Source organism: Homo sapiens, chromosome 11 (assembly GCF_000001405.40).
Source record: "Homo sapiens chromosome 11, GRCh38.p14 Primary Assembly".
NCBI lineage: Eukaryota > Metazoa > Chordata > Mammalia > Primates > Hominidae > Homo > Homo sapiens.
In genome coordinates, this window is record NC_000011.10 from 57578529 (window position 1) to 57597375 (window position 18847).

Genomic DNA, 18847 nt, shown 5'->3' on the forward strand with positions numbered 1-18847 from the left:
GTTCGAGACCAGCCTGGGTAATATAGGGAGACCCTGTCTCTACAAAATTAATAAAAAAATTAGCCAGGCATGGAGGCACATGCCTATATTTCTAGCTACTTGGGAGGCTGAGGTGGGAGGATTGCTTGAGCCCAGGAGTTGCAAGCTGCAGTGAGCCACGATTGTGCCACTGCACACCAGCCTGGAGAACAGATCAAAATCCTGTCTCAAAAACATACAAACAAACAAAAAAAAATCATGAGGCTCTTGGCAATACAAGGCCAACATTCCCTCAGGGCAGAGCTTGGCTGGAGCTCAGCAGGGCTGCCCCTCTACACCAGGAATGCATACCCCTGTATGCCACAGTCTTCATCACCTCCTATTTTTCCTGGCCTGGCCAGCATCACCTGCTTTTTTTAGTCATTTGGTCTTGTAAGGTAACAGGTGTTCTGGAGTCTCTTTTCACTTGTTAACCTCCTACCTCTGATTCTTTCCTTTCGTTAGGATCAGGGTTTCTTATGCTCCACAACATCTGTGGCCTTTGCAGGCATAGTTGTGCACCTGTCCTAGAAGGTGTGGCAGTGCCTGGTTGCTGCTCAAGTCTCTCTCAGGTACTTCATGGCGGAGAATTATTGTCATCTACCACCCTTGAATGAGACAAACTTTTTTTTGAGGTGGGGTCTCACTGTGTTGCCCAGGCTGGAGTGCAGCAGCTATTCACAGGCACACAGGCATAACCAAAGCACCCTACAGCCTTGAACTCTTGGCCTCAAGCAATCCTCCTGCCTTAGCCTCCAGGGTAACTGGGACTACAAGTGTGGGCCACTGTGCCTGGCTATAAACATCTTTTTTGACAGCCCTGTCTGGGTTGGAGGAGGCTCAATTACAGAGTTAGAGAGGATCTTAGAGACTTTCTAACAAAGTCAAGAAATATATTAATAAATGGGGGGAAAAAGGCTTTTCAGACACTGTAGATGGCATGGCACCATACCTGTGTGTTTAAAGACAACAGCATGGGCTGGGCACAATGGCTCATGCCTATAATCCCAGCACTTTGAGAGGTCAAGGCAGGAGGATTGCTTGAGGCCAAGAGTTCCAGACCAGCCTAGGCAACACAGTGAGACCCTAGCTCTAAAAAAATTTAAAATTTAGCCAGGTACAGTGGCACGTGCTTATAGTCCCAGCTATTTGAGAGGCTGAGGTGAGAGGATCACTTGATCCTGGGAGGTTGAGGCTGCAGTCTGCCGTAATCGTGTCACCGTACTCCAGCCTGGTTGACAGAGCAGGACCTTGTCTCAAAAAACAGAACAAGGCTGGGCGCAGTGGCTCACGCTTGTAATCCCAGCACTTTGGGAGGCCGAGGAGGGCAGATCATGAGTTCAGGAGTTCAAGACCAGCCTGGCCAACATGGTGAAACCCATCTCTACTAAAAATACAAAAATTAGCTGGGTGTGGTGGCACGTGCCTGTAATCCCAGCTACTCAGGAGGCTGAGGCAGGAGAACTGCTTGAACCGGGACCCAGGAGGTAGAGGTTGCAGTGAGCAGAGATTGCCCCACTGCACTCCAGCCTGGCGACAGAGCGAGACTCCATCTCAAAAAAACAAAAAACAAACAACAACAACAACAACAACAAAAACCCTACCATATATACATTTATGTTTGCATGTTAGATACTAACCTGGAAAGATACCTAAACATCTGATAGAGTGGTTATCGATTTGGGAGGAAAACAGTTTTGTCTACATATAACATATCCTTTCACTTTGTCTGCCTTTCACTGTCTTTGAGTTATTACAGAGGCTTCATTAACTTCCTTCCCCTCACCCCATGGAAGAACCAGTTTGCCTTTATTTATGTATTCATTTCAATACTCTTGATCTATAAATGTGTCTGTTTTCAGAATCTCTTTTGATTCTAACATCTCTTTGATTCTAACATTTGTCTGGTTCTCTCATTGATAAAAGAGTAGAATGAAATATTTAACGCGTGTCCATATTGTATCTATGAGAGTCATTATTTTACCTTTTTCTGAAACTTATCTTTGAACAATTATAGTCTAACTTGGAAGGATGCTTGAGAAATGGATAAGAGTGATTCATCAGTTTGAAGAGGTGTCTAGGGATGGAGTAGAAAGGAGACTTACTTTCTACTGTAAATTTTTCATACTACAAAATTTAAATAGAAATTTTTTTTCTTTTCTTTTCTTTTTTTTTTTCTTTTTTTTTTTTTTTGAGAAAGAGTCTCGCTCTGTCACCCAGGCTGGAAGGCAGTGGTGCCATCTCAGCTCACTGCAACTTCTGCCTCCCAGATTCAAGCGATTCAAGCAATTCTCCCACCTCAGCCTCCTGAGTAGCTGGGATTAGAGGCTCATGCCACTACGCCCAGCTAATTTTTGTATTTTTAGTAGAGACAGGGTTTTACCACGTTGGCCAGGCTGATCTCAAACTCCTGAGCTCAAGTGATCTGCCTGCCTTGGCCTCCCAAAGTGCTGGGATTACAGACGTAAGCCACCCCGCTGGGCAAAAATTTGAATAGAAATTTTCAATAGAATAAGTATCCATTCAAAACTATAAACAAGTACAATTTTTGTATTCTTTTTTTCAAAGAAGTAATTGAAAAGAAAACTAATTGAAAAGAAGAAACAAAAAATAGGAATTATAACCTAGTGAGTAAAAACATGGGATTTAAGGTCAACCAAAGTTGGATTTAAGGTTCTGACATTTTCTTTCTTTTTTGGTGGGGGACAGAGTTTTGCTCTTGTTGCCCAGGCTGCAGTGCAGTGGGCAATCTCGGCTCACTGCAACCTCCACCTCCCAGGTTCAAGCAGTTCTCCTGCCTCAACCTCCCAGGTAACTGGGATTACAGGCACCCACCACCACGGCAGGCTAATTTTTTTATTTTTAGTAGAGATGGGGTTTCACCATGTTGTCCAGACTGGTCTCGAACTCCTAACCTCAGGTGATCCACCTGCCTTGGCCTCCCAAAGTGCTGGGATTACAGGTGTGAGCCATCGTGCCTGGCCCTAAAGGTCTGACATTCTCTAAGTGACTTTGGGCAAGTTACTTAATCTCTTTAAGCTGTAGTTTATTTGTTAAGTAGAGATAATGGTACCTTGTTTCCAATGTCACTGTGAAGATAAAATGAGATTTGCATATTAAATTTTTCAACCCAGGGCCTGGCATATAGTAAACACTCACATCAAACCTGGACCACAATCATATAATAGACATAATTGTCACTGTCAACATCATCAAATCCTGTGTCTGCCAAGTACGGGATGGATCCACCAAAGGGATGTCAAGCAATTTTAGGTGGTATTAAATAACAACGAAATCACAGATTGAGAACATTTTTTCTTTTTCAGTTTCTTTTGATCCTCTTTGATTTCTCAAGGACTAAGTGTCAGTTTAATGCTCTTCATTCTTTAATACCTAACACATGCTAACTCCATTTTTAACACGGAAGGAGGAAGCTTTACTACAGAGATGTCAGCAGGCAGAATCAGCTAGAATTTAGTAACACCATTCTGTTTTTGCTGCGTTTATTTTACAGGTGCATTCATTCCAGGGCTGCATTTGGACTTTCATGGGCCCTAAGCACTTTCGCCTTGGTGTATCTCTTTCTCCATAGTGAGACCCTATCTCTAAAAAAAAAAAATTTAAAAACTAACCGTGTGTGGTGGCATGTGCCTGTAGTCTCAGCTACTCAGGAGGCTGAGGCAAGAGGATTGCTTGAGCCCAGGAGGTCGAGGCTGCAGTAAGCTGTGATTGTGCTACTGCACTCCAGCCTGAGCAACAGAGTGAGACCCTGCCTAAAAAGAAAAATTTTTTTTTGAGATGGAGTCTCACTCTGTTGCCCAGTCTGGAGTGCAGTGGTGTGATCTCAGCTTGCTGCAACCTCCGTCTCCTGGGTCCAAGCGATTCTCCTGCCTCAGCCAACTATCCTGAGTAGCTGAGATTACAGGCGTGCATCACCACCCTCAGCTAATTTTTGTATTTTTAGTAGAGACGAGGTTTCACCATATTGGCCAGGCTGGTCTCAAACTCCTGACCTCAGGTGACCCGCCGGCCTCGGCCTCCCAAAGTGCTGGGATTACAGGCATAAACCACCGTGCCCAGCCAAAAAACTTTTTTTAAATTATACCTTATGATTGCATTGGTATAAATAAGAATATAATCCTGGCTAGATTCATTATTATTATTATTACTATTTTAGACAGTCTCGCTCTGTCACCCAGGCTGGAGTGCAGTGGTGCGATCTCAGGTCACTGCAACCTCCGCCTCCTGGGTTCAAGCGATTCTCCTGCCTCAGCCTCCCGAGTAGCTGAGATTACAGGCGTCCACCATCACGCCCGGCTAATTTTTTGTATTTTTAGTAGAGACGGGGCTTCACCATGTTGGCCAGGCTGGTTTTGAACTCCTGACTTCAAGTGATCCACCCGCCTCAGCCTCCCAAAGTGCTAGGATTACAGGCGTGAGCCACCATGCCCGGCGTTTTTTTTTCTGGTTTTTTTTTTTTGAGACAAAGTCTCACTCTGTTGCCCCGGCTGGAGTGCAGCAGCATGATCTCGGCTCACTGCGACCTTCACCTCCCAGGTCCAAGCAATTCTCATGCCTCAGCCTCCTGAGTAGCTGAGATTACAGGTGCCCACCACAATGTCTGGCTAATTTTTGTATTTTTAGTAGAGACAGGGTTTCACCATGTTGGCCAGGCTGATCTCAAACTCCTGACCTCAAGTGATCCATGCCCTTGGCCTCCCAAAGTGCTGGGATTACAGGTGTGAGCCACCACACCAGGCCTTATTATTTATGCATTGCTATTATATTTATTTTTTTCCTCCTAATTTGAAAAGAAATTACAATTATAACATTTCCATTGGTCCCCGAAAAGCCAACAGACTCAAGGTCCTGTGCCTGGTTGGCCCTGATCCATTCTATTTATGGAGAGTGCTGCCATTTCTCCATTTATAGAGGAGACGTCATTTCCTTTTTATGTGTATTCAAGTAAACAAAAATGAGTCCATTAGACAACATGAAACCAAATAATAGTACATGGGGTGGTAATAATATGGCAAAAATGAAAGCCCTTCATTTTACAGAGGAGAAGAGACTGAGGTCTAGGGATATAACACCTTGTGGAGGTGGGACAGAAATTCCTAGGCTGTCCAGACCCTTCAGGACACTTTGCAGCTCCCCCCAGCACATTCCTGGGAAGGAGATGATCCCTCCCTAGCAGCCAGGGACCAACTCCACAGTGATGCGGGAAGCTCCCAAGTTACCCCACAGCCTGCCCTTGCCAAGACCTAGGCCTAGGTAGTCGGCTTCCCAGAAGACTCTTGGAGAAAACTACTTCAGAATTGGGTTTTGCTTCCATCAGATCATGCTTTGAAACCATTCAAAGGCCAACAAAGGACAAAGTCCCTTTAAATCCAAGCTGACTCACCTTGTTAAAAAAAAAAAAAAAAAGAGGCTGAGCGCAGTGGCTCACGCCTGTAATCCCAGCACTTTGGGAGGCCGAGGTGAGCGGCTCACGAGGTCAGGAGATTGAGACCATCCTGGCTAACACGGGGAAACCCCATCTCTACTAAAAATACAAAAAATTAGCCAGGCGTGATGGCGGGCGCCTGTAGTCCCATCTACTCGGGAGGCTGAGGCAGGAGAATGGCGTGAACCCGGGAAGCGGAGGTTGCAGTGAGCCGAGATCATGCCACTGCACTCCAGCCTGGGCGACAGAGCGAGACTCCGTCTCAAAAAAAAAAAAAAAAAAGAAAAAGAAAAAAAATGAGGGAGCTTTGAAGAAGCGTAAATTAGCATTCAAACTAGGGGGCTTCTTCAAAGGCCTGAAGACTGACTCCTGTCACCCAGGTAGCCACGTCCTGATCAGAGGACACATCCCTGAGATAGAAAGCAGGGCCCCTGACTTCCCCATCCCCCCGGGCTTTTTGTTCTGTCTACTCTTCTATTTTAACCTAACGGAGAAGAGGCTGAAGAGAAAGTCCAGAGGCCTAGCGGGAGAGCTGGAATCCACCAATGGGTGCGCTTTCCGGGTCGGCTTTCCAGGTCAGCTATCTGGATGGCAAATTAGAATGGCAGTGGCAGATGAAAGTGTCCCCTGTGAAAATGCGGACACAGAAAGAGTCCTGTGAGTTAAGAGCTTTGCCACTAGTCTAAGCTGTTCTGTGGCCTGAAGCAGAACCCAGAAAGGCCCTACGAAGCTTCTGACTACATGAAAAGACCCAGCCAGGTTGGAATCCTAAATGAACACTAAACCGAGCAAGTAAACCTGGGATGAAGTTAAGCAATGACAGAATACAACCAGGGGCTGGAGAGAAAGCATCGGTCTGGTTCTGTGTGTTATGGTGGTTTTTAAAGCAATTTTTGCCAGAAGATCATTTTGTTGTTGCACGTAAATGTAGGCAACTCATGTGTTTACATTTTCTGTATCTATTTGATAAACTGGTGTGGAAAATGAAAATAACCCAAGACAAGAAGTCATAATGATCAGATGACTGAAGTACACTGGGGTGGGGGCCGTGGAGTCCAAAACATGCCTTCAAACTGAAGTGTTAATATTCTCCTGGAGCAGCTGTTTCTCTGGAATTTGGGGGAGGTCCTGCTCTCCCCACTCCATCCCCATCTCCATGCAACATCTTTGTGTCTCTTCTCTCTCTTTCTTTTTCTTATCAGTTACCTAGAGGAGGTAACAAGCACCACCAGTCTCCTGGCAGCAGCTGCTAGAAGAGGCTGTAGAAATGGGTAGTGTATAGGCGATAATAACTGCTAGAAGGCACAGTTGGACCATTTAATCTGTGTCCTTGATAGCCAATATCAAAGGACCTTGCTTATTCAATCATTCAACAAATATCTATTGAGTTTCTGCTGTGTGCCAGGTGGTGGGCTGAAAGGAAGTTGCACAGACCAGAAATGGAATCTGAGCCTCCCACAAGGCAGGCAAGAATTCTGACCCTGAACCACAATGGACATCCCCATGAGTGCCCCACAGTAGCCCCCAGCCACAGCAGAAGTTAGCAGGTGGCACCAGTGTGCAAACAGTCTGCTTCTTTTAACACCCCACTCTTCCTGTTTTTTGGTATTCTTCTTCCTTTCACTTATTCAGATGAAAGAGGGAGACATATCAGAAAGATGGAATTGTTAGGGGGCCAACAGATGGGCCTCTCAAGTGGCCTCTAACTAGGTGAAGAACTTTTTTGTGCTAGGTTGATTCTCAATTAATTCACCCATCCCCTCTCCCAGACATACATGTCATCATTACTAATCATTATGCACAATCACTTGAGCCTCTCGGAAGATTTCTTGTGGCCTTTGTCAGGGATCCCTGTGCTCCAACTTCTGTCTTCTGGCTTAGGCAAGGTGTATACATTCATTTAACAGACATTTATGAAATATCTTATAGAGCGGGCGCAGTGACTCATGCCTGTAATTCCAGCACTTCGGGAGGCCAAGGCGGGTGGATCACTTGAGCTCAGGAGTTTGAGACCAGCCTGGGCTACATGGCGAAACCTTGTCTTTAGAAAAAATACAAATATTAGCCAGGTGTGGTGGTGTGTGCCTGTAGTCCCAGCTACTCAGAAGGCTGAGGTGGGAGGATCATTTGAGCCTGGGAGGTTGAGGCTGCAGTGAGCTGAGATTGCACCATTGCACTCCAGCCTGGGTGACAGAGCGAGACCCTGTCTAATATATGTGTGTGTGTGTGTGTGTGTGTGTGTGTGTGTGTGTGTATACTTTCTACATGGTAAGCACAGTACCATATGCCAAAGATACAATGGTAAATAAGACAGACAGGGTCCCTGCTCTTCTGTGGTTCACAGTCTGGTGAAGAAGACAATAATCTAGCAAACACAGAGCAATGAAATGATTGTCCCTCTTGTGGTAAATGTGATTTGGAAAACCAAAGAGACATGATGGTGGAGAATAAGGAGAGTTGTCAGAAAGGTTTCCCTGCAGATAAACTTTTAAAGATCTCAACCTGTGGACGGGAAATTTGGGGTTGGAGCCCCCACACAGAGTCCCCACTGGCACAGTGGCTCATGCCTGTAATCCCAACACTTCTAGAGGCTGAGGCGGGTGTATTGCTTGAGCCCAGAAGTTTGAGAGCAGCCTGGGCAACATGGTGAAACCCTGTCTCTACAAAAAATTTAAAAAATTAGCCAGGCATGAGGGTACACACCTGTAGTCCCAGCTACTCAGGGGGCTGAGGCGGGAGGATTGCTTGAGCCTGGGAAGTGGAGGCTGCAGTGAGCCTAGGTGGTGCCACTGCACTCCAACCTGGGGGACAGAGGAGACGCTGTCTCAAAAAAAAAAAAAAAAAAATCCCAACCTGAAGGATGAAGCAACTATGTAGAAAGTTGCTGAAAGAGCAGTCCTGGCACAGAGAACAGCAAAGGTATTGATGTGGTTTGGCTCTGTGTCCCCACCCAAATCTCATGTTGAACTGTAATCCTCTATGTTGAGGGAGGGACCTGGTGGGAGGTAATTGGATCATGGAGGCAGATTTCCCCCTTGCTGGTCTCATGATAGTGAGTAAGTCCTCACAAGATCTGATAGTTTAAAAGTGTGTGGCACTTCCCCCTTGTCTAGCTTTCTCTCCTGCCACCATGTGAAAATAGGCTTGCCTCCCCTTTGCCCTTCTGCCATGAAGGGCTTTAGCTCAGGCCACTGCTTCAGAGGGTGCAAGTCCCAAGCCTTGGAAGCTTCCATGTTGTGCTGGGCCTGTGGATGCGCAGAAGGCAAGAGTTGAAGTTTGGGAACCTCCACTTAGATTTCAGAGGATGTATGGAAATGCCTGGTGTCCAGGCAGAAGTCTGCTGTAAGGGCACAGCCCTCCTGGAGACCCTCTACTAGGGCAGTGTGGAGGGGAAATGTGGAGTTGGAGCCTTACACAGAGTCCCCACTAGGGCACTGCCTAGTGGAGCTGTGAGAAGAGGGCCACTGTCCTCCAGACTCCAGAATGGTAGACCCGCCAACAGCTTGCACTGTGCACCTAGAAAAGCCACAGGTGCTCAACGTCAGCCTGTGAAAGCAGCCACAGGGGCTGTACCCTGCAGGGCCACAGGGGAGGAGCTGCCCAAGGCCTTGGGAGCCCACCCCTTGCACCAGCATGCCCTGGATGTGAGACATGTTGTCAAAGGAGATTATTTTGGAGCTTTAAGATTTAATAACTGCCTGCTGGATTTTGGATGTGCATGGGGCCTGTAGCCTCTTTGTTTTGGCCAATTTCTCTCATTTGGAATGGAAGCATTTACACAATGCCTGTACCCCCATTGTACCTTGGAAGTAACTAACTTGTTTTTGATTTTACAGGCTCATAGGTGGAAGGGACTTGCCTTGTCTCAGATGAGACTTTGGACTTAGACTTTTTTGTTTTGTTTTGTTTTTTATTTGAATTCTCTCAACCCCTGCAGAGGACTTGGACATTTGAGTTAATGCCAGAATGAGTTAAGACTTTGGGGAACCACTGGGAAGACATGGTTGTATTTTGAACTATGAGAAGGACATGAGATTTGGGAGGGGTCGGGGCAGAATCATATGCTTTGACTCTGTGTCTCCACCCAAATCTCCTGTTGAATATAATCCCCAGTGTTGGGGGAAGGACCTGGTGAGAGGTGATTGGATCACGGAGGCAGATTTCCCCCTTGCTGTTCTCATGATAGTGAGTGAGTTCTTATGAGATCTGATGGTTTAAAAGTGTGTAGTACTTCCCCTTTCACTTGCTCTCTCTCCTGCTGCAATGTGGAGACACAATTGCCTCCCCTTTGCCCTTCTGCCATGACTGTAAGTTTTTTGAGGCCTCCCCAGTCAATGCCTCCTGTACAGCCTGTGGAACTGTGAGTCAGTTAAACCTCTTTTCTTTATAAATTACCCAGTCTCAGGTAGTTCTTTATAGCAATGTGAGAATGGACTAATACAGATATTCTAGAAACTTTCAGAAGGCCAGGCACTAGATGTAATAAGAGGAGTTGTGTAATACAAGCAGAGGTTGGACAGGGAGGCAGAGGTCAGCTTGGACCTAGTCTTGTAGGCCAGGGTCAAAAGTTTAGATTTTATTACAAGAGTGAAGAGAAAGGCTCATAAGTGACTTCTTATAAGAGTGGTCTCCTGGCTGGGTGCGGTAGCTCGCCTGTAATCCCAGCAGTTTGGGAGGCTGAGGTGAGTGGATCACCTGAAGTCAGGAGTGTGAGACCAGCCTGGCCAACCCCGTCTCAACTAAAAAATAAAAATAAAAAATAAAAAATTATCCTGGCATGGTGGTGGGCACCTGTAATCCCAGCTACTTGGGAGGCTGAGGCATGAGAATCGCTTGAACCCAGGAGGCAGAAGTTGCAGTGAGCTGAGATTGTGCCACCGCACTCCAGCCTGGGCAATTGAGCGAGACCCTGTCTCAAAAAAAAAAAAAAAAAGGTCTCCCATGGAAAACCAATTTATATTGATTATCATGTATTATATTATATTATATTAGTTATTATCATTCTGTCTGTGGATTGAAGAATATCTGGAAAGGACAGAGTGGAAGCATGGAAACCAGGCAGGAGGCTATTCAGTGGCCCAGGTGAGAGATGGTTGTGGCTAGATTGGGTTCATGGCCTCAATGATTGAGAGAACTGAGTGGATTCAGGATACATTTTGAAGATACTACCAAAAGGTCTGATGATGGGCTGGATGTAGGGAAAGATCAAGCTCCTCTAATCCCTCTGGGTGAGAGGCTATTTCAACTTCTACCACCTCCTATAGTGACCTGAGGTGGAGATAAAGGGCTCAAATTAGGACCCAAGATTAAAGACCTAAACCCAATCAAGTTCAAGGAACCTGGAACTGAAAAGTAAATACAAAATCTAAGACTTTTAGGCCAGTGATAAAACTAGGCCTTGTTACATAAAGGAGAGAGAAAATGAGGCCCAGAAATTATTGTTTCTTTTTTCGAGACAGAGTCTTGCTCTGTTGCCCAGGCTGGAGTGCAGTGGCATGATCTCAGCTCACTGCAACCTCTGCCTCCCAGGTTCAAGCAATTCTCCTTCCTCAGCCTCCTGAGTAGCTGGGATTACAGGCACACACCACCATGTCTGGCTAATTTTTGTATTTTTAGTAGAAACAGGGTTTCACCATGTTGGCCAGGCTAGTCTCAAACTCCTGACCTCGTGATCTGCCTGCCTCAGCCTCCCAAAGGTCTGGGATTACAGGCATGAGCCACCGTGCCCTGCCACAAAAATGATTTTTTAATGACATAGATTGAACTAAAACATGCACTGTGTTCAATAGCAGAAAAAAAAAATCAAGATCCTGGAAATAAACAGAAATAGGTGGAATACGTCTTCAGAGCAAACTATATAACTGTATTAGTCTGTTTTCACACTGCTATAAAGAACTGCTCAAGACTGGGTAATTTCGAAAGGAAAGAGGTTTAGTTGACTCACAGTTGTGCATGGCTGGGGAGGCCTCAGGAGACTTACAATCATGGCAGAAGGTGAAGGGGAAGCAAGAAACCCTCTTCACAAGGTGGCAGGAAGAAGTGCTGAGCAAAGAGGGAAGAGCCCCTTATAAAACCATCAGATCTCGTGAGAACTCACTCACTATCAAGAGAACAGCATGTGGGAAACTGCCCCCATGATTCAATTGCTTCCACTTGGTCTCTCCTTTGACACATGGGGTTTATGAGGATTACAATTCAAGATGAGATTTGGGTGGGGACACAAAGCCTAAACATATCAACAAGTATATTGAGAAACAGGCCAGGCGTGGTGGCTCCCACCTGTAATCCCAGCAGAGAAACATTAAGGAAGAGCCAAATAGTTGGAAAGCTATAACATGTTCATGGATTAGAAGACTTACTGTTATAAAGATGTCAATTCACTCCCAAAATGATCTATAGATGTAAGGTAATACCAGTCAAAATCCCAACATATTTTTCCCTTTTATTTTGTGGAGCCTGGTAAGCTGATTCTAAGTATATATGGAAATTCAGGGATCAAGAATAGCAGAGATCTTCTTGAAGAAGAATAAAATGTGAGGACTTGGTCTACTGAATATCAGAACTTAAACATGGTGCCGTCACAATTTTTTGTTGTTGTTGTTTTTGAGACAGAGTTTTGCTCTTGTTGCCCAGGCTCAACCTCTACCTCCCTGGTTCAAGTAATTCTCCCGCCTCAGCCTCTCAAGTAGCTGGGATTACAGGCATGCACCACCACACCCAGCTAATTTTGTATTTTTAGTAGAGACAGGGTTTCTATCTCTGCTAACACGTGAAACCCCATCTCTACTAAATATACAAAAAAAAAAAAAAATTAGCTGGGCGTGGTGGCAGACACCTGTAGTCCCAGCTACTTGTGAGGCTGAGGCAGGAGAATGGCGTGAACCTGGGAGGCGGAGCTTGCAGTGAGCCGAGATCATGCCACTGCACTCCAGCCTGGGCAACAGAGCAAGACTCTGTCTCCAAAAAAAAGAAAAGAAAAGAAAAGAAAAGTCTGTAACTGGAGAAGTGACCATGGGGCTTCATGTTCAAGTTGGGCAGAACAAGGAGGGTGGCTCCCTGTTTCTCAACAGGCATTGAGGAACGCAAGGTGAATTTTGGCTTTTCTGGAAGTGGAGCAGGCATTTTTACCCTCAGGAGAGGTGCATGGAAGCAGAAACAGCAGGTCAAAGCAAGGGGCCACAATCTGAATGGAGCCAAATTCACAGCTGAGTCAACAGTCCAAACCTAGCGCTTCCATCTACAGAGCTGGCAACGGAGAATTGGAAACAAAGGCTAGAAATAGAAAGGTAGCAGAGAAAGCAGGTACGCTGCTGTGCAAGAAGTGGAAAAGATAGTAAGTGAGAGGGAAACTTCTGGAACCGGCATGTAGTTAAGGGGATTGGTTTGGGAATCAATCCAAATGTCTCTCTCAGGGTGAGATCAAAGAAATAGTTTGTAATACATCCATACAATGGAATACCGTGCGGCTGTAAGAAAGAATGAGATAGAGCTGCCTGCAGTGACATGGAACAATGCCCATGCTACTTTATTAAGAAAAGAAATTAGGCCAGGCACAGTGGCTCATGCCTGTAATCCCAGCACTTTTGGAGGCCGAGGCGGGTGGATCACGAGGTCAGGAGATCGAGACCCATCCTGGCTAACACGGTGAAACCCCCTCTCTACTAAAAACACAAAAGAAATTAGCCGGGAGTGGTGGCGGGCGACTGCAGTCCCAGCTACTCGGGAGGCTGAGGCAGGAGAATGGCGTGAACCCTGGAGACAGCGCTTGCAGTGAGCCGAGATAGGGCCACTGCACTCCAGCCTGGGTGACAGAGCAAGACTCCCGTCTCAAAAAAAAGAAAAGAAATTATGGAAGAGTAATAATTATGTGTGTGGGGAGAGATGAAGTAGATATGATTTTATAAATAGGCAAATATAAAAGCATACACTCAGAATTATTAACAGCAGTTTTGTCTGTGGTAACTTTTAATTTTGTAAGTGTCTGAATTGTTAGAAACGTTTTGTTTTGTTTTGTTTTGTTTTGTTAGACAGAGTTTTGCTCTTGTTGCCCAGGCTGGAGTGCAATGGCACGATCTCGGCTCACTGCAAACTCCACCTCCTGGGTTCAAGCGATTCTCCTGCCTCAGCCTCCCGAGTAGTTGGGATTACAGGCATGTGCCACCATGTCCACCTAATTTTTGTATTTTTGGTAGAGACGGGGTTTCACCATGTTGGCCAGGCTGGTCTTGAACTCCTGACCTCAGGTGATCCATCCACTTGGGTCTCCCAAAGTGCTGGGATTACAGGCGTGAGCCACCACGCCCAGCCAGAAAAGTTTTACAAAGCACGTATATGACTTTGTAGCAATAACTTTGAAAGAATCATTTAATTTTTTTTTAGACAGGGTCTTGTTCTGTCGCCCAGGCTGGAGTGCAGTGGTGTGATCACGGCTCACTCCAGCCTCGAACTCCTAGGCTCAAGCAATCCTCCCACCTCAGCCTCTTGAGTAGCTGGGACTGCAGGCATGAGCCACCAAGCCTGGCTAATTTTTTTTATTTTTTGTGGAAACGGGGTTTTACCATGTTGTCCAGGCTGCTCTCAAACTCCTGGGCTCAAACAATCCCCCTGTCTCAGCCTCCCAAAGTGCTGGGATTACAGGCATGAGCCACTGCACCCAGGAAAAGAATAATTTTAAAGATCCTTAGAAAAATGATTGAATGGACCAATTTAGAATATCTATGAGGACTCATCAAATGTTTCTATTCTACTCGAAGAAGCTTTGTATTCCTCGGCCTGCCAGGATCTGCAAATAGGGTGTGAGCCTGAGGTTTGGGGATTTTGTGTCTCAACACTTATTTGGATCTCATCTCTGTCTTCATCTCTGATCCCCATCCACCTCCTCATACCAGTTAAAGACTGAAGGGAAGAGGAAGAGAAGAGGGTCGTTAGTGGAAGGGTACTGTGCATGAGGACTCTCTAGTGAGGTTCCTGGGAAGGTCCAGTCCCTGGAGAGCTGGGCAGGAAACAGCCCATGTGAATGAGTCAGGGCTGGTGAGAAAGGGAATCAGTGAAGAAGGTGGGGATACAGTGGGAGCAGGAACCCCCACAGCTCCCTCACTCATGGCTGCCAAACCTGTGCCCTTCTCCGGAGAGGACTACTGTATTTGTAGGAAATAAGGGACAAAGTTCAGCCTGTGGTCCGTTCTTACTTACAAAGCATCAACAGCCCCACGTAAAGGGTGTGCCACAACATAATTCTCAAAATGGTAGAACTGTCATTCTCACACAAATACACAGTGAGAACCTTCACAAGATAACTGTCAGGATGACAAAGTTGGTTCAAAGAATGATTTGAGAAACTGGTGTGTGTGTGTGTGTGTGTGTGTGTGTGTGTGTGTGTGTGCTGGAATAACACAGCTAAGTTACCTACAAAACTGGCTATTGCCCTGCAGGCCAACAAGACTGAAATAGGAGGTAGGACTCAACTCCCGAGGTGGGGCTCAGATACCAACCAGATTGAGGACTAGCTAAAACAGGGCCAGGGCAGAAGCAGTTTTCCATAAGATTTGCCAGCCAGTCCGCCATGTCAGTTTACCATTGCCATGGAAACACCTGGGAGTCACTGCCTCTTTCCATGGCAATGACCTGATGATCCAAAAGTTCTTTTCCCTTCCCTAGAAATTTCTGCATAAACTGCTTCTTGTTTTGTTTTGTTGTTGTTGTTTTGTTTTGTTTTGTTTTTTGAGACAGAGATTAGCTCTTGTGGCCCAGACTGGAATGCAACGGTGCGATCTCGGCTCACTGCAACCTCCACCTTCCAGGTTCAAGAGATTCTACTGTCTCAGCCTCCCGAATAGCTGGGATTACAGAAGCCTGCCAGCACGCCAGCTAATTTTTTGTATTTTTAGTAGAGAGGGGGCTTCACTGTGTTGGCCAGCCTGGTCTCAAACTCCTGATCTCAGGTGATTCACCCAACTTATCCTCCCAAAGTGCTGGGATTACAGGCAGGAACCACCGCGCCCGGCTTTAAACTGCTTTTTAATCTGCATGTAATGGAAAGTGGGTATAAATATGACTGCAAAACTGCCCTGAGCTACTGCTACTCTCTGCCTACAGAGTACCCCTCCTTTGCAGGAGCAGTCACTGAGCTGTAACACTGCCTCTTCAAAAAAACTGTTTTCTTCTACCTCCGGCTTGCCCTTGAATTCTTTCCTGGGCAAAGCTAAGAACGCTTACCAGCTAAGCCCCACTTTGGGGCTCACCTGCCCTGCATCAAGACCATTACCTTTGGGGTTATCATTATCATCTCATTCACATCTCTACCAGACAAAAACCCTTTGCATCTTATCCATTTTTGACAGGTCAACATCTGACATTACAGACTCTGAGCCCTAATCTAGAAAAATAAGAAAGAGAAAATTCTATTCCTCTAGAATAGCATTTCTCAACCAAGATTCCAAAGAAAGGACTGAGCCCTAATTTGCCCAGCGCATTATTTGTTGATAATCAATCAACTTCTCTCCTCTGAAACTAGAGTGGTGCTAGTTGTGTACTATCTGTGGGAGAGTTGAGAAAATAGTCCCTCCAACCATTTTCTGTGTCCCAAGAACGGAGTGACCCTGATTTCTCAGAATTCTTTTGCCCTGTTTCCAAGTTTTGGATAATTTTTCTTTTTTTCTTTTCTTTTCTTTTTTTTTGAGACAGTCTCACTCTGTTGCCCAGGCTGGAGTGCAGTGGCGCAATCTCGGCCCACTGCAACCTCCACCTCCTGGGTTCAAGCAATCCCCCCACCTCAGCCTCCCAAGTAGCTGGTACTACAGTCGTGCACCAGCATGCCTGGCTAATTTTTGTATTTTTAGTAGAGATGGGGTTTTGCTATGTTGGCCAGGTTGACCTCGAACTCCTGACCTCAAGTGATCTGCCCACCTCAGCCTCCCAAAGTGCTGGATTACAGGCATGAGCCACCATGCCCAGCCGAAAAATTTCTCTTAAGAAGGAAAACTAAAGGTGTTTAGTTTTTCACACTCTATAATGTGAGAGAGTTCAGCTACAGCAACTTGTACCTTCAGTATTAGAGGACTCAACTAGGAAAAAACCTGATAAAAATGCTCTGAGTACAGGAAGAGCTTTAGTGAGAACTTGTACCTCATTCAACATCAGGAAATTCACAGGCGAGAGAAGCCATGTGCACCTACAACATGAGGGAAGAGGGATTCTGTGGGTTCAACTCTCCTCAGTCACCAGAAGGAAAGGTCCTTGTTACAGAGAAATCCTAGACCTGCTCCCAGTGGGAAGAGAACTGAATTCACAACCTTACACTGATTGAATATCTCAACATCCACACTAGGGAGAAATTCCGCAAACATCCTGATTAAGTCAGTTTCAGCTCCAGCTTCAGCAGGCAGGGGAGACTTCACAAAGCAGACATCATTTAAATGTGCAGAGTGCAGGAATGGCTTTGGCCAGAGAGCTATTATAGATGGCTGAAGGAGGTAGACCCACAAGCTGGGAAAACCTCTCCACTGGGGCTTTTTCACCCTGGAACTTTGGCCCACAAAGCATCGTACTCTTGCAGCTGTACCCAGAATATTCCCTTTGCTGTCTGCTTCAGGTTAGCCCCTGGTGTGTGTCAATAATTTGTAAGGGTTAATAAAGAACTGTTGGGTCAAACAGACCTGGTCCACATCCTGGCTCTGTCACTTACTGGCTTTGTGATATTAGGTAGATCAATTAATTTCTCTGAGCCTCATTTTAACTTGTTTAAGATGGGATTAATATAGCACCTACTTCATAGGTGATGAGAATTAGTGAGAGGATGAATGTAAATGCATGGTGAGCACTCAGTGAATTAGGTTGCTTTCCACCACCTTCTTTTCCTTTGGCTGACCCATTTCCCAGAATCCACAAGCTCATAGTCCCTTTGAGCCCACCAGCTTGAGCACTGGGGATGGAGAAACGTTGTTTTGTGTGCAGCTGTTCAAACGATGGCTCTGATGTTATATAACTTTCCCATGGTTTAGGAGGTTCCCAAGTGGCTTCAGAGAATAAAGCACAAAGCTGGGGAAGACTCTTTCTGGGTCTTGTCCAAGGACCCCCGAGGAGACACACAAATATTCTCCTGTTTCTGTCCTTGGTCAGTCCCTTAGAGTAGCAGTTCTGGTGCTAGCAGCAAACTTTCCTGAATGCTCCAAACACAGCCAGAGGATAGGCCTGCAGTGAGATGACGATAGAACATGATAGCTATATTAGGTCATCAGAGACAACCTGTTTGTTTTGCAGATGAGGCAGAGTTATCAGATTTAGCAAAAATACAAAATGCCAATTATATTTGAATTTCAGATACACAACAATGACAACAAAATTTATTTTACCATAAGTATATTCCAATGTAAGCATTTTTACCATAAGTATATCCCAATGTAAGTTTTTTTTTTTTTTTTTAGAGACAGCAAGTGTCTTACTCTGTTGCCCAGGCTGGAGTGCAGTGGCATGATCAATGCTAACTGCAGCCTTGAACTCCTGGGCTCAAGGGATCCTCCTGCCTCAGTCTCCTAAAAGGCTGGGATTACAGGTATGAACCCCCAGGCCTGCCTACTTCGTGTGTTTTATCTGGCAATGCTGAGAGGACAGCTAGATGTCGAGGACAGCCAGATTTCGAGGACAGCCAGACGTCAAGGGGGAAAGCAACTTGCTGGCTCACACAGCCAGCCAGGTCTATTGTGGAGCCCTAGTCGCAAACACATACACCCCAGCTTTCAAGTTTTTAAATATTTATTTAGTTAGTTATTTGTTTTTTGAGACAGTCTTGCTCTGTCACCCAGGCTGGAGTGCAGTGGTGCAATTTCAGCTCACTGCAACCTCTGCCTCCCAGATTCAAGTGATTGTGCCTCAGCCTCCCTAGTAGCTGGGACTACATGTGCGCGCCTGCACTGCCCAGCTAATTTTTGTACTTTTAGCGGAAACGGGGTTTCCCCATATTGGCCAGAGTGGTCTCAAACTCCTGACCTCAAGTGATCCACCCACCTCGGCCTCCCAAAGTGCTGGGATTACAGGCGTGAGCCACCGTGCCCGGCTAGCTTTTTTTTTTTTTTTTTTTTTAATTAGGTTGAATGCTTGTTGAGCTGGGTGCCTCACATCCGTTGTCTGTTATACAAAGAACTACTGATTATGGGTCTCTACGAGCAAAAATGGCAGAACACCTACAGGGCACAGGGGAGATGGGAGCAGGGATTAGGCTTCAGAATACTTCTCCAAATGAGGGTGATCAGGGCCCGACATTTCACTGCTCTAAGGCTCAGTATCTTAACTATCAAATGGGTACAATGGGGCACAAAGGGTTACTTTGAGGAATAACGGAGGTGAGCAATTTCCAAAAAGTTCATTCCTTTAAAAACTGCGGAGCAC

At 45.8% G+C, this 18847-nt stretch overlaps 1 annotated feature.

Moving 5' to 3' along the window:
• Window positions 3878-4045: a silencer, noted in NCBI's record as "fragment chr11:57349879-57350046 (GRCh37/hg19 assembly coordinates)". NCBI's record gives its function as "represses an EF-1alpha promoter that drives an FKBP-Casp9 reporter gene in an ReSE screen in K562 erythroleukemia cells {active_cell/tissue: K562}" and the evidence as "EXISTENCE:reporter gene assay evidence [ECO:0000049][PMID:32094911]".